The sequence below is a fragment of the Homo sapiens genome, chromosome 20, assembly GCF_000001405.40.
Source record: "Homo sapiens chromosome 20, GRCh38.p14 Primary Assembly".
NCBI lineage: Eukaryota > Metazoa > Chordata > Mammalia > Primates > Hominidae > Homo > Homo sapiens.
The window spans coordinates 58,554,047-58,567,392 of record NC_000020.11 but is presented as its reverse complement, the minus strand read 5'-3'; the positions used below and the strand labels follow the sequence as shown (position 1 = coordinate 58,567,392).

The window sequence follows — 13,346 nt, the reverse complement described above, 5'->3', positions numbered from 1 at the left end:
AGTAAATGGCAGAGCTGGGATTTGAACTGGAGGGTGTGGGGCTTCTGAGGCTTCTTTCCCCACCCTCTCCTGCCTTTCATCCCTGCACCCCAGCACCTGTGCTCTGGCCAGCCCACAACACTGGAGACAATGAGAGGAAGCAAATGAATGAATGAGCCACTGAGGAAATACAGTTGGCTCACACTTCTCTGGGTGATGGCTGGGCCTCTGTTCATAGGGCCCGTGGTGTCCCCAGGCTGAGAGGTGGAGACGGAGTCTCCTGGAGGGGCAGGAAGGAAGTGGATGCCATCAAAGCCGTAGAAGAAACAGTGTCTTAGCTAATTGCCTGGCCTCCTGAGAAGTCGCACAGCCACGACCAGCCCAGAGGTTGAGCTCCGCATTGAAGAAGAAATGTTGATCAGCTCTTAGGGATATGAAAGGATGCCCTGAAACCCACTGACAGGCTCAACAGAGGCATGGGCTGGTATTGATCTGGACGAAATCTATTGTTTTGGAGGAGGGCATAGTTAGAGGAAAGACAATGTGTTAAGACTGTAAATTCGGGGGTGAGGAATAGACGAATAGGAAGAGAAATTGGCAGAGAATGGAGAATACACATCCTCACCCGTCAACAGCAAGGCGAGCCAGGACCCAGCCAGGTTTGACCAAATGAGCCAGGCGCTAAAAGGCCCCATGCCCAGGTGCATGGGGGCTCAGTGCTGCCAGAACGCAAATAGCCACAGGCAGATGGAGGCCCCACAATTAGAGGCAGTACCCTCTGAGGTCCATCCAGCCTCCCCTGCAGGATGGAATGAGGCCAGGTACAGGAACAGGGGCAGCTTCATGGGCACGTGGCTATGCAGCCACACAGGGCCCCATGCTGAGCAGGGGCCCACACTTGGTTTAATATTTTTTGAGGGAGCAACCTTGCATTTTTATTTTTCTCTAAGCCCTGCAAGTTCTGTAGCCGGTCCTGCTCGGGAGGGAAAGGCAGTGGACAAGGAGGACGTCTCCAGGGATGGATGACAATGATGTGCTCAGGCATACGTGGGTTCTGCCACTGCTTTATGCCTTCCCGCTGCAGCCATGGGACGAAGATTCACTGGGTGTGTGTGATTTCACATTGCCTCGCCAACTCACCACGAAGGGGGTGCACCTGGGAGACAGTGAGGCACATCTGCCCATAGTTTGGGTCACCTGTCTAAACTTAATACTAACTGTGGCCACTTAATCCCAGTGAGGAAGGCTGAGACCCCTCAAAGGTAAGCAGAGAGGCAGAAAAGAGCACGGGGCTTCAGAGGACCCCTTATCGCCTGGGAAAGGCAGAACACCCCTGGACAGCACCAGGAAAGCTGGAAAGTCCATCCTTTGTCCACTGCCTGAGCTTGGAGCCCTACCCTGCCCCTCCTGCAAAGGAAGGTAGCTGAGACCTCACGGCGAATGGCCACTAGTCGGCACAGCCTTCATTGCATGAGCTGCTTGCGTCCCAAGATCACTGGCATGAGTTCCCTAGCCAGGGCACCTGGGCATGGTGCCTTCCAGTGCCCACTCACATGATCAAACCCAATGCTTGCCCTGGCATTCAAGGCCCTGCATAACCTAGCACCACATTCATCTTCCAGCTAGCGCTCTCCCCTTGTCCCCCAGGTCACCACTGGGCTGGTCCCCTTGAGCACTTCTCACTGGGCTTGTGGCTTTTCTCTACTGGCCAGAACCTCCAGGTTGGGATCTTGTTCCACCTCCTCTGGGAAGCCTACCTGCCCCCGCAGCTCTCTCCCCCACCCTCCCTCTGTTCGTGTCTGTCTGTGGGCAACATGGCGTCAACTTCTGAATTCCCTTCATACTGTCAGCTCCGTGATCAAAGAACACACTGGAGTCAAACCTACTTGAATCCCAGCGCTGTGCCAGAGCTGACGAACAGTGGTAAATGAGAGTGACAGTCCCTCCCCAGCAGACAAAATGAGGTAATGCTGGCAAAAGGCATAAAGAAATGAAGGTAAGACAACAGTAAGAATGACAGTCAGTGTCCTTGCTGGGATGAAAGCACAGCAGATCAAAGTCACCTTTAAAGAAAGGCAGCTACAGGCCGGGTGCGGTGGCTCACGCCTGTAATCCCAGAACTTTGGGAGGCCGAGGCGGGCGGATCACGAGTTCAGGAAATCGAGACCATCCTGGCTAACACGGTGAAACCCCGTCTCTACTAAAAATACAAAAAATTAGCTGGGCGTGGTGGCGGGTGCCTGTAGTTCCAGTTACTTGGGAGGCTGAGGCAGGAGAATGGCGTGAACCCGGGAGGCGGAGCTTGCAGTGAGCCGAGACTGAGCCACTGCACTCCAGCCTGGGAGACAGAGCGAGACTCCATCTCAATAAATAAATAAATAAATAAATAAATAAATAAATAAATAAATAAATAAAGGCAGCTACAGCCGGTGCAGTGGCTCACGCCTGTAATCCCAGCACTTTGGGAAGCTGAGGCGGGTGGATCACCTGAGGTCAGGAGTTCAAGACAAGCCTGGCCAACATGGCGAAACCCCATCTCCACAAAAAGACAAAAATTAGCCAGGCATGGTGGCGTGTGCCTGTAATCCCAGCTATTCGGGAGGCTGAGGCACGAGAATCACTTGAATCGGGGAGGCAGAGGTTGCAGTGAGCCGAGATCACGACACTACACTTCAGCCTGGGTAACAGAGGGAGACTCCGTCTCAAAGAAAAAGAAAAAGAAAGGCAGCAGCTGCAGATAGAAACATTGACAAAAAATTATTCTGACAGCCTGCTGTCAGACAAGCTAGAAAAACTGTCTAAACTGGACACAAGCACATAAAAAGACATAGCAACCCGAGACCATGAAAGACCAACACAGCCATAGACCCTGAAGGGACCAGTGTGGCCACAGCAGACCCACAAGTACAATGGAGTTTATGACCAGCAGTTCTCTAACTGCCTTCCATAGTGGCGCATACACCACGCAGGATGCTGAGTCAAATGACAAGAATATATTTAGCTTGTTAAGAAACTGCTGACTTCTTTTCCAACCAGCAATGTAGGAAAATTCCAGCCCTTGGCTAGGATAACGCCTGTAAACCTAGCACTTTGGGAGGCCGAGGCGGGTGGATCACCTGAGGTCAGGAGGTCAGGAGGTCAGGAGTTCGAGACCAGCCTGGCCAACATGGTGAAACCCTATCTCCACTAAAAATACAAAAATTAGCTGGGTGTGGTGGTGCATGCCTGTAATCCCAGCTATTCGGGAGGCTGAGGTGGGAGAATCACTTGAACTCAGGAGGCAAAGGTTGCAGTGAGCTAAGATCACACCACTGCACTCCAGCCTGGGCAACAAAGCAAGACTCTGTCTCAAAAAAAAAAAAAAAAAAAAAAAAAGAAAAGAAAAGAAAAGAAAATTCCAGTCCTTCCACATCCTCGTCAACACTTAGTGTTGTCTATCTTTTTAATTTTAGCCATTCTGGCAAGCATAGTGGTATCTCATTGTGCTTTTAATATTCATTTCCCTGATGATTAACGATGCTGAACAACTTTACATGAATCGTTTATAACTAATTAGCTATCCATATGTCTTTTTTGGTAGAATGTCTTTTCAAATCCTTTGCCCATTTTAAATATGGGTTATTTGTCTTTTTATTATTGAATAGTAAAAGTTATTTATATATTAGATACAAAAGTCCTTTACAGATATGTGCATTCAAATATGTTCCCCCACTCTGTGTCTTGTCTTTTGGTTTTCTTAACCATGTCAGCAGTCCTTTTTTTTTTTTTCCAAAAAGTTCCTTCATGCCCCTTTTTAATCAGTCCCCTTTCTCCACCTCCTATGTGTTTACCTTTTCTGGAATGTAAATATCATGTAAATGGAGTCATACATTTTGTAGCCTTATAAGCCCAGCTTCATTCATTCATCATAATACCTTTCATATTCATCTGAGTTGTGGGTATCAGCCCTTCATTCCTCTCTAACATTGAGTAGTTCCAGTAGGAATTCCATCATATGGCTGTGGCACGGTTTCTTTACCCATCCATCAGCTGATGGATATTTGGGTTGTTTCCAGTTTTTTGCGATTATAAATAAAGCCACTGTAAACATCCACATATATGTTTTTGTGCACATATGTTTTCATTTCCTTTGGGTAAGTACATAGAAGTGGGATGCTAGGTGTTATGGTAGATGTATATTTAACTTTATAAGAAACTGCCAGGCCAGGCATAATGGCTCATACCTGTAATCCCAGCACTTTGGGAGGCCAAGGCAGGAGAATTGCTTGAGGCCAGGAGTTCAGGACCAGCCTGGGCAACATGGCAAAACCCTGTCTCTACAAAAAATACACACACACACACACACACACACAATTAGCCAGGTGCAGTGGTGCACGCCTGTAGTCTCAGGTACTTGGGGGGCTGAGGAGGAAGGATTCCATGAGCCCCGGAGGTCATGGCTGCAAAAAGAAAAAAAAAAAGTACCAAACTACTTCCCAAAGTGGCTGCATCATTCAGCCTTCCCATCCACAATGTAGGTGAGGTCCAGTGGCTCTGCGTACTCACAGCACTTGATAATGTCAGGGTTTTTGTTTCCATTTTTAAGCTATGATCTATCTTGGTGACTAGTCCACATATGCTCTAAAAGGAAGTGTGTTCTGCTGCTGTTGGGTGGAATGACACTTAAAATGTTCCTTAAACCAAGTTGGTTGATAACATTGATCAGGTCTTTTACATCTTTACTGATTTTCTTTCTACATTTATCAATCCAGGGATGTTGAAATTTCCAACTGTATTGTTAGATTTGTCTATTTCTCCTTCCAGTTCAGTTGTTTTTGTTTCAAGTATTTTGAATCTCTGTTATTTATATGCATACATTTAGGAATGTTATGTCTCCTTGTGAATTGACCCCTTCATCATTATAGAATTTCTCTTTTTAACTCTGATAATATTTCTTGTTTTTAATCCTCCTTGATTAATACAGCCACTCTGGGCCTACTTTTGATTAGTGTTTGCATAGTATATCTTCTTCCATCATTGAATTTATATCTTCATAGTTACTGTGGGTTTCTTGAAGATAGCATATAGTTGGGTCTTGTTTTTATATCCAATTTGATCATGTCTGTCTTTTATAATTGGAGTGTTCTGAGTATTTGTATTTAATGTTACTGATATGGTTGGATTTATAGCTACCCTCTTGCTAATGGTATAAAGCATTTTAATGACTCCATTTCATTTCCACTGTCAACTCATAAATTAGACCTCTTGTTTAATTTTACTTTTACAAAATTGCATTTTTAATTACATAGTCTTCCTTCAAATAATATTATGCCACTTTCATACAATGTAGGAAATAATAGATTTCCATTTTGCCCTCTCATTCTTCCTTCCTCTGTGGTCATACCTTTCACTTATTATACATCCCACTACACATTGCTATTGTTTATGTTTTAAACAGCCAAATCTGTTTTAAATTAATTTAAAAATGAAAAGGCATATTTACGTACTTATTTGTTATTCTTTCCTTTCTTTTGTAGATCTAAATTTCTATCTGGCATCATTTTCTTTCTGCTCTAAGAACTTCCTTTAATGTTTCTTGTGGTGCCAGGTTTCTTCTGATGGATTCTATCACCTTTTTTTTTTTCTTGTCAAAAAGTCATTATTTGGCTCTCACCTGAAAAATATCTTTGACAGGTATAGAATTCTAGGTTGACAAGTTTTTTTCTTTCAGAACTTTGACAATGTCATTCCACTGTCTCCTGGCTTACATTTTCCCTCTGGCTATATAAAAATTTTTCTCTTCATCACTGGTTTTCAGTAATTCAAATATGATATATGTTGCTGTGCGGCGTGGTGTGTGTGTGTGAATCTTGTTTGTGGCTAGTTGAGGCTCTTGGATCTTAGGATTTATAGCATTCAACAAATTTGGAAAATATTCAATCATTATTTCTTCTCATTTCTTTTCCTGCCCTCTCCCCCTACTTCTCACCTTGAGACTCAAACTACACATGCTTGATACTGTCCCACAGGTCACTGAAAGTCTATTCATTTTTTTTGTCTTGTTTTTTCTGTTTCATTTTGGATCATTTCTATTGCTATGTCTTAACATTCACTTCTCATTTCACCCTATTTCCAAATCTGCTGTTAATCCCATTATATTTTTCATTTCTGATATTGTAGTTTTCATCTCTAGAAATTCCATTTGGTGCTTTTTATCTCCTAAATTCCTCTCTTCACTATGTTCATGTTTTAAGAATAATTGAATACGCATTTAATAGTTGTTTTAATGTCCTTGTTTGCTAATTCTATCATCCTTGTCATTTCTGAGACTGTTTCTCTTGACTGATTGTCTCACATTGTTCAACTTAACATATTGAGTAATTTTTGTTTGGATGCTGAACATTATGATAATTACATTACACATCCCACTACACATTGCTATTGTTTCTGTTTTAAATGGCCAGATCTATTTTAAATTAATTTAAAATTTAAAAATAGCATATTTACATGCATATTTGTTATTGTTATTCTTTCATTTCTTTTGTAGATCTAAATTTCTATCTGGCATCATTTTCTTTCCGCTCTAAGAACATTTAGACACTTCAATGTTGAGTGTCTAAAATTTTGTTGTCTTCCTTCCAAAGTGTTGGGCTTTGCTTTGGTAGGCAGATAATTATAAAATAAAGACTTTGGGGGGCAAAAACTTTTTCAGACAAATCAAACTTGTGGTTCAGTTTGACTCTTTGGAGACTTGTTTATAATCTTGATTAGGGTGGGTCTAATGTAGCACTTACTGTAGGAATAATTTAGGCCCACTGCTAAGGTATGGCTCTTCTGGTTTCTCTAGTGAATGCTCTCATTGATCTATAAGGACTCCTCATTCTGGTTAATCTGAACTCAAATGCCTCTGTATCTTTTGCTTGGACCACACAAGTCTCCTAATTGATCGTGGCCCTGGCCCAGCTTTGTCTTTCTGTACTGCAGCCAGGGTGAGCCTTCAAACACCTAGGACTGGCCATTTCATCCCCCAGTTAAAAACCTTATGAGACTTCCTGTCACCACTCCGGGGAACAAAAAAGGCAGAGGGGACAGATACAATATTTGACCTTCATGATCTGTCTTATCTACCCCTCCACAACACGTCTCATACTTGATCATCCACCAGCATCAAGCAACTTGCAGCCTCCAAACTCCCATGTGACTGCAGACCTCTGTGCCTGCACCCAGGCTGTCCTTGCTGCACCACGAAACACAGATGTGCCTCCGAGGAAGTAGAGTGTGTGCTGGCATTTCCAAAACCATTTGGATTGAGAAAGGGTCAGACAAATGATGGGGGTTAGAATTTGCAACCAGAGAGCCCGAGACATCTTCTCTCCCCCTGGATCACTCCCCTGGTGTTCATGGGTCCGGAGTCATTTGCCCATCACTGGAGAAGACCTTCAGTCAGCAGTGTAGCCATGGGTCCTCATTTGGCCCCTGCCAGTACACAGTACACATCTGTGACTTGGCTATCCAGAGAAGTCTGACCCCCAGGAGCTGGTGTCGGGGCCTGGGAAACAGCATTTTGACAAGCACTCTGATTTTGATGTGTACCAAAGTGAGAGAACATCCATTCTCTCTGTTACAGGCAAGGACTCTGGAGCCAGGCCTGGCTTCTGGTGCCAGCTCTCAGGTCACCTTGCCCTTCCTGGCCTCAGGGCCTTACTCTGTACAATGGGATCATGCCTCCCTTGGAAGATGGTAAAGTATACAGCCCAGGTCCAGCAGGCGTTCAACCCAGCCCACCCCTCCCTCTTCCCTTTTGACTCTTCCCAAGGCACATCTGCTCTGGCCTCCAGGGCTGTCTCTTCCCTATCAGGGGCTAGCAGGGGCTTCCTTGCCAGCTCCCAGGAAGCAGTCGACAGCAGTCACTGCACAGACGCTTCATATATTCCGTGGGGCGGATGGGGTGTCTTGCTTTGTGGCGACACATGGACTGAGTTCACACAGCAATTTAAGGAAACCAGGTTGACAGTCCCGCTCTGATAATGCAAGCAAAGGCCTGATCTAGGAGGGGATTGTAGGTGGGCCAGCCCCATACCCTCTCCCTGTACCAGCGAGGAGCAGGAGAGCCGTTTAAGGCAGCGTGGGCCGTGTGCCCACACGCAGAACTGGAAACCCTCCCTGCCTGCCGTGCCCTGCTGCTGTTCCACTGCTTTGGAAAAAGCCATCCAATAAAATCAATATGACCTGTGGCAGGAGTTGACCTTCCCAGCCCTGGCGAAGGTTCCAGATGACTGGACAGGTTCCTGGCAAATCAGAATTTCTCCTGCACCCAGTGAGGGCAGGTTTGGAGGTGAAAAAGCCATAGACTACTGTGATCCCTTCAAAAAAATGAGGCGATGCGCTCAAGTGATGCCAGCTGTGAAGCAGACTTGAGGGGTGGCTGAACTGCTCTTCGTTGGAAGCCTCAGGGTTGTGAGCCACACAGATGGCCAGGAAGTTACGGGGTGGAGGGAGGGGACTTCATCACACAACCCCTGGACTCCAGGGAACTTTTCCTCAAAGCAAATGATAACTTAATGAGGTGAAAAACTTGGGCAGTTTTGAAACTCAAGCACAAGGGTCACCCCCACCCCCTCTCCTCCTCTCCCCACCCTCATTGAGCCAAGGGCACTTCCACGGGTCTATGAGCTTTACTGCCCAGTGGTTGATGCTTAATTCAGCCACTAGGGAGGGCTGGCCATGGGGGTTGAGGGGCCGTGGAGAACAGCGACAGAGGTGGATTTCACCTGAATGACGGCAGCGGCCGGCCACATGGCTGTGACTCAGGTCCAGTTTCTCCCTCTCCACCTCTTGCCTTGGATAAAGTCCATGTAGGTGACACCAGAGTGCTGACCTGGCTGCCATTTGAAGGCGCTGTGACCTGTGATGAGCCACTCAAACCGTAAGTCAACATTTATCTGTAAGGAGCCATATTCTGCACATCCAGAAAAGGTGAATTTTCCAGATGAGAAGGACCTTGAAGATTTTCTACTCTGGCAGTTTCCATCCTCACTGCTGAGTGCCACTTTTGTTCTTTTCCCCGCCAGCCCTCATGTTTTCAAAGATTGTGTTGCCCAAACTGCCTTTGTTAAGTAATAATTTGTTTTCCAATTGTTTAATTAATCAAAGACATAAATAACTGCCAACCTGAGCTTTTAATCAGTGTAGGGGGGAGAGAGGCCAAAAGCTGATACTTATTAAGCACCTGCCACGCACCAGCCGCTGCCCCCGCACCCTTCATGCTGTCCTCCCACAACCCCTCCGTGCCAGGACATGGAGGGACAGAGAAGCAGTTCTCCTTCGCCAAGGTCACACGGGCAGCCAGAGGCAAAGCCAGGACCAGCTCCTGAGTCTGCCCAATGGCAAAGGTCCACTCTTTCTACAGCTGGCTACCACCTCTTGTCTTGCCACCCTGGGGTGATGCAATTCCAGCCCAAGGCAAAGGAAAGGCATTTATATCCGCCTGAAATACTGAAAATGCCTCCTGTGTTGAGCCAAGACTCTTTCCACTGCAGATGACAGAAGCACGACTCAAACGGACTCAGATAAAACAAAGGATGTGGGGGCTGGTTGGCTCACATAACTGGAGTCCAAGGTGGGTCAAGCTTCAGGCATGGTTGGATCCGGGAGTTCACACAGAGCTGTGCACCCTCCCCTCTGTCCTGCTATCACTTGACTCTGCTTCTGCTTCTCTTTGCCCTGGTCTCCATTCTCCCCTGCTTCGGATTTCCCCCACCAAGTCCAGACATACATGCAGCTGCCTCCATGATAGCTAAGATGCATCTTTCACACAACATGGCCGCAACAGAACTCTTTGGCTTTCCCTGTCCCCAAACCTGTTTCTCCCCCACCTTCCTGCAGCCCAGGAGTAGAGCCACATCTCCCAGCTACTCAAGCCCCGTTTAGAGCGGTCCTTCTTTCTCCTCTTTCTCCCACAGCCACATTCAATCCAGCAGTAGGTCCTGCCGGCTCCACCTCCACACCAGATCCCCAACCCTCCTCTTCCCTCCAGCTCCTGGCTGCTCCACCCCTGATCTGGTCCCTCCATGACTGTGCCAGCCCCTCACCGTTCTCCTAGCTTCTACGCTCACCCCAACACCCTCCCTCCACTCAGCAGCCGGAGCAAGGATTTCAAAATGAAACACAAAATCTCTCACCTCAAACACAAAATCTCTCAAGGGGAAGGTCTAGACCTTCCCCTTGCTTTTCACTGCACTTAAAATAAAACTGAAACTCCTTCCTGTGGCCACAGGCCCCAGTGGTTGGACCCCTGCCCACCTTACCAGTGACTTTCCTTACCACTCCCCATCTTGCTCAACAGCCTCTATCTGCACTGGCCTTTCTGTCTCTCAAAATCTGTCGCCTCCTGTTAACCTCGGGGTCTTGGCACCAGCTTTCCCTCCCTAGCTCTTACTTCGCCTGGCTCCTTCTTGTCATTCATCTGAGTTCAAATGTCACATCCTTAGGAAGCCTGTCCTGACCACCCTGTCTAAAACTGTCTTCCAGCACATCAGCCTATCGCCCCCAAGTACTTAGCACAGTGTGTCGTTATCTTATTTACTTCTTTGGCGCTTACTGCCTATCTTCCCCCATTAGGATGTAACCTCCAGGGGTCAGGGTGCCCGGCAGGTGGGCCAGCCCCTATACCCCAAGCTCAGGACCTGGGTCTCCCTACATAGCCCACAGCCATGTTGAGTGTTGAGCACATGGCCCTATTAGGCAAACGGGTGGTTTCTCTGCAGAGCCCCAAGGATCTCATCTCTTTCTGGTTATGTATAGAGATCTTGCCAACTCTGTTGCCCTGTGGTAGAATATTCTGGGAAGTCAGCATCTGGGGCCCCCAGGTGAATGGTGCTTAATACTGGACAGTGGTTTCTTTCCAGCCCCAGTGCAGCCAAAGACAGGTTCTCAGGGCCTCATCTGTGGGCACTGTGAAGACAAACACATTTCAGCCTCTGATTCTAAATAAACTAAATGTTTCTGAAGCCAGCACCTAAGGAAACTCATGCCGATGGAAGAATTAAGCCTCGTTAGAGATGTTCTTGCCAGTAATGTGGCAGCTGAACAGCAGCCTTTTATTGGTACTGTAGTCTCTACTCAGCCAAGCAGAGACAAAGAAGTGGGGCAGGATGGCTCCCCCAGCATGCCCTTGTCGAACCTCTGGCCCTCTGCTCTCACTGGTCCCCTGCTGGGATCCCTGGTCTCCAGCTTCCACAGTTTTATGTCCAAATCCCTTTTCCTGGGAAAAATGCCCTCAAGGACTCCCCAAAGGAGAGGAGCTTTCCCCGTTTCTTAGCTTCTAGAATTTCATTTTCTCAAAGACAAAAATCACTTTTCACCCAGAAGTCTGGTTGTGTATGGGAGGTAGTCTTATATTAGACTAGAAGCTCCCTGAAAACATCTAGTCTTGGGTCTGCCAAAGTCCTAGTATTGTGTACAGGGTACGGAAAGCCTGGATGGCTGCCTGCTTATATGTACAGATGATAGGTGTATGGATGGATGGATGGATGGATGGATGGATGGATGGATGGATGGATGGCAGACTGAATGAATAAACAGATGATTGTTTGAATAAGTGGTTGGATACGTAGTTGACTGGATGAATGGATGGTTGCTCACTGCCATTTTTAAAGCTGTTCTTGATGACAACAAAGGTAAAAGGGTAATTGAATCAGGTTAAAGCATTGTATCCCAAACCGATTTCCACAAAATCCCCTGCCTATAAGATGTACCTTAAAATAAGCACTCATCCTTAAGTACATTTGAGAAAGGCTACATACTTTAGCCTCCTTATGGGCTGGTCATAATGCTCATTAGCATGCTAGCCCTGAGAATTCCTTCAAAGAGGGAATGTGTTTGGCTCAAGGTATTTTGTTCAATGTTGGCTTCTTGTCTTCATAATGAGCTCATCACAGAGCATCCCTCATCCAAGCTCTTTTAAACTGGTTAATATTCCAAACAGGTGAATGAGATGGTGAAGACCCCAGGCTGGGCAGCTGGATGTCTGCTAAGTGGAGATCAGGGCTGGGCAAGAGGAAGGCACTGGCTTCTGCCCATCTTCCTCCTTCCCTGTACCAAGGCTGGCAGTGGGAGGTGGTTGTCTCACTTTCCTGAGCTTTCACGACCCAAGACTGAGTCATCCCACTTTATTTTCCCTTTGTTACATTGGCAAGCATTCAGATGGTGTTAGCTGTAGCTATGACACAATGCCGCAATGATAAAATACTACCTATTCTCCTTGGAACAAGAGGTCAGGAGGAATCTGATCATTTTTCCTGAAGAAATCATCTTACATTTCAAACTAAAGATTCTCCAACCTCTTCAATGACTACAGAATACAAAATTTTAAGATGCAAAGACTTAGAAATGGAAGGAGAAGTCTACCTGTTGGCCCCTTCCCTACTCCCCATGAAGGGGGAGAGGTGGGCTATATAGACCCTCTTGGGGCAAGGTCTACACTGTGGATCCTGTTGGGGACCATTCCTGGTGAAAAAGTGAAGCTGGCCTCCCAGCTCTTTCTGCCTCCCCTTCAGAATGTTTCCCCTGCTTCCATCCCTCCTGATGCAGGAACCTTCTGCTGACTTCTGGAATGCCCCAGAGGCCTCAGCACATGCCACCCTTTCTGTCTAGCACGCCTTCCCCACACTTGCAGGGCAGCCTCTGGGCCTCCTGTGGAGTCAGCTCAGCTGCCCTCCAAAGCACAGTACCTCTCACCACCCTTGTCTGCTTCCCTCTTTCTCTCATGGAGTGGATTCCAATCTGGAGTTGTTATATCTGTCTATTGCTTTCTCCTTGCAGACTACACAGTCACAGCGGACAGGCAGGGTTCACCATCCTCACCGGTCCCTGACACAGTGCCAGGCACATGGTGCATGCTTAGTAAAGATTCGCTGAACTAGTGACTCCCAAAGAGTGGCATTTTCAGGCATAATCGCAGGGCTATATGTTTTAAGTGGTGCCACCATCACCTCTCAGAAATCTACCAGCCCATAGTACCATCCAGGTCATTCATGAGGCTGGAGGAAGTCTTTGGAGTGATAACCTATCTTTCTTCTTTCCCTCCTTCTGACCAGCTGTGGAGCTGGTAGATCTGAACATTTATTCCAGAAAGAATCTTGCTTCTCTCCTGAGAAAGAAAATGCCTCTTGCAAGAGCCAAGATGAACAGCTAGAGCAGAATGCCACACTCGGGGCTTCCCTCTGAAATGCCCCAGCACGCAGCACGGGCTTCCAGTGACACTGTCCAGAGCCCACTGCATTACCCTAGGAAGAGAAGGGCCACGCTGGGTTGTGGCCTCAGGGCCTGTGGTTGCAGGTATTTTAGTTCTATGGTTTAGACGCTGAAGCCTCATCCCACTCCTGTGA

At 46.9% G+C, this 13,346-nt stretch overlaps 1 long non-coding RNA gene across 1 annotated transcript in view, besides 1 other annotated feature; it reads right to left on the bottom strand.

The window, feature by feature from the left end:
- The window catches only part of APCDD1L-DT (APCDD1L divergent transcript), a 104,514-nt gene that overhangs the window by 52,500 nt on the left and 38,668 nt on the right, over positions 1-13,346 (bottom strand). The gene's annotated exons all lie outside the window — the stretch shown is intronic.
- Positions 7,628-8,128: an enhancer, noted in NCBI's record as "H3K4me1 hESC enhancer chr20:57134321-57134821 (GRCh37/hg19 assembly coordinates)". NCBI's record gives its function as "activates a minimal SCP1, AML or CMV promoter by ChIP-STARR-seq in primed H9 embryonic stem cells {active_cell/tissue: H9 hESC(primed)}" and the evidence as "EXISTENCE:reporter gene assay evidence [ECO:0000049][PMID:30033119]".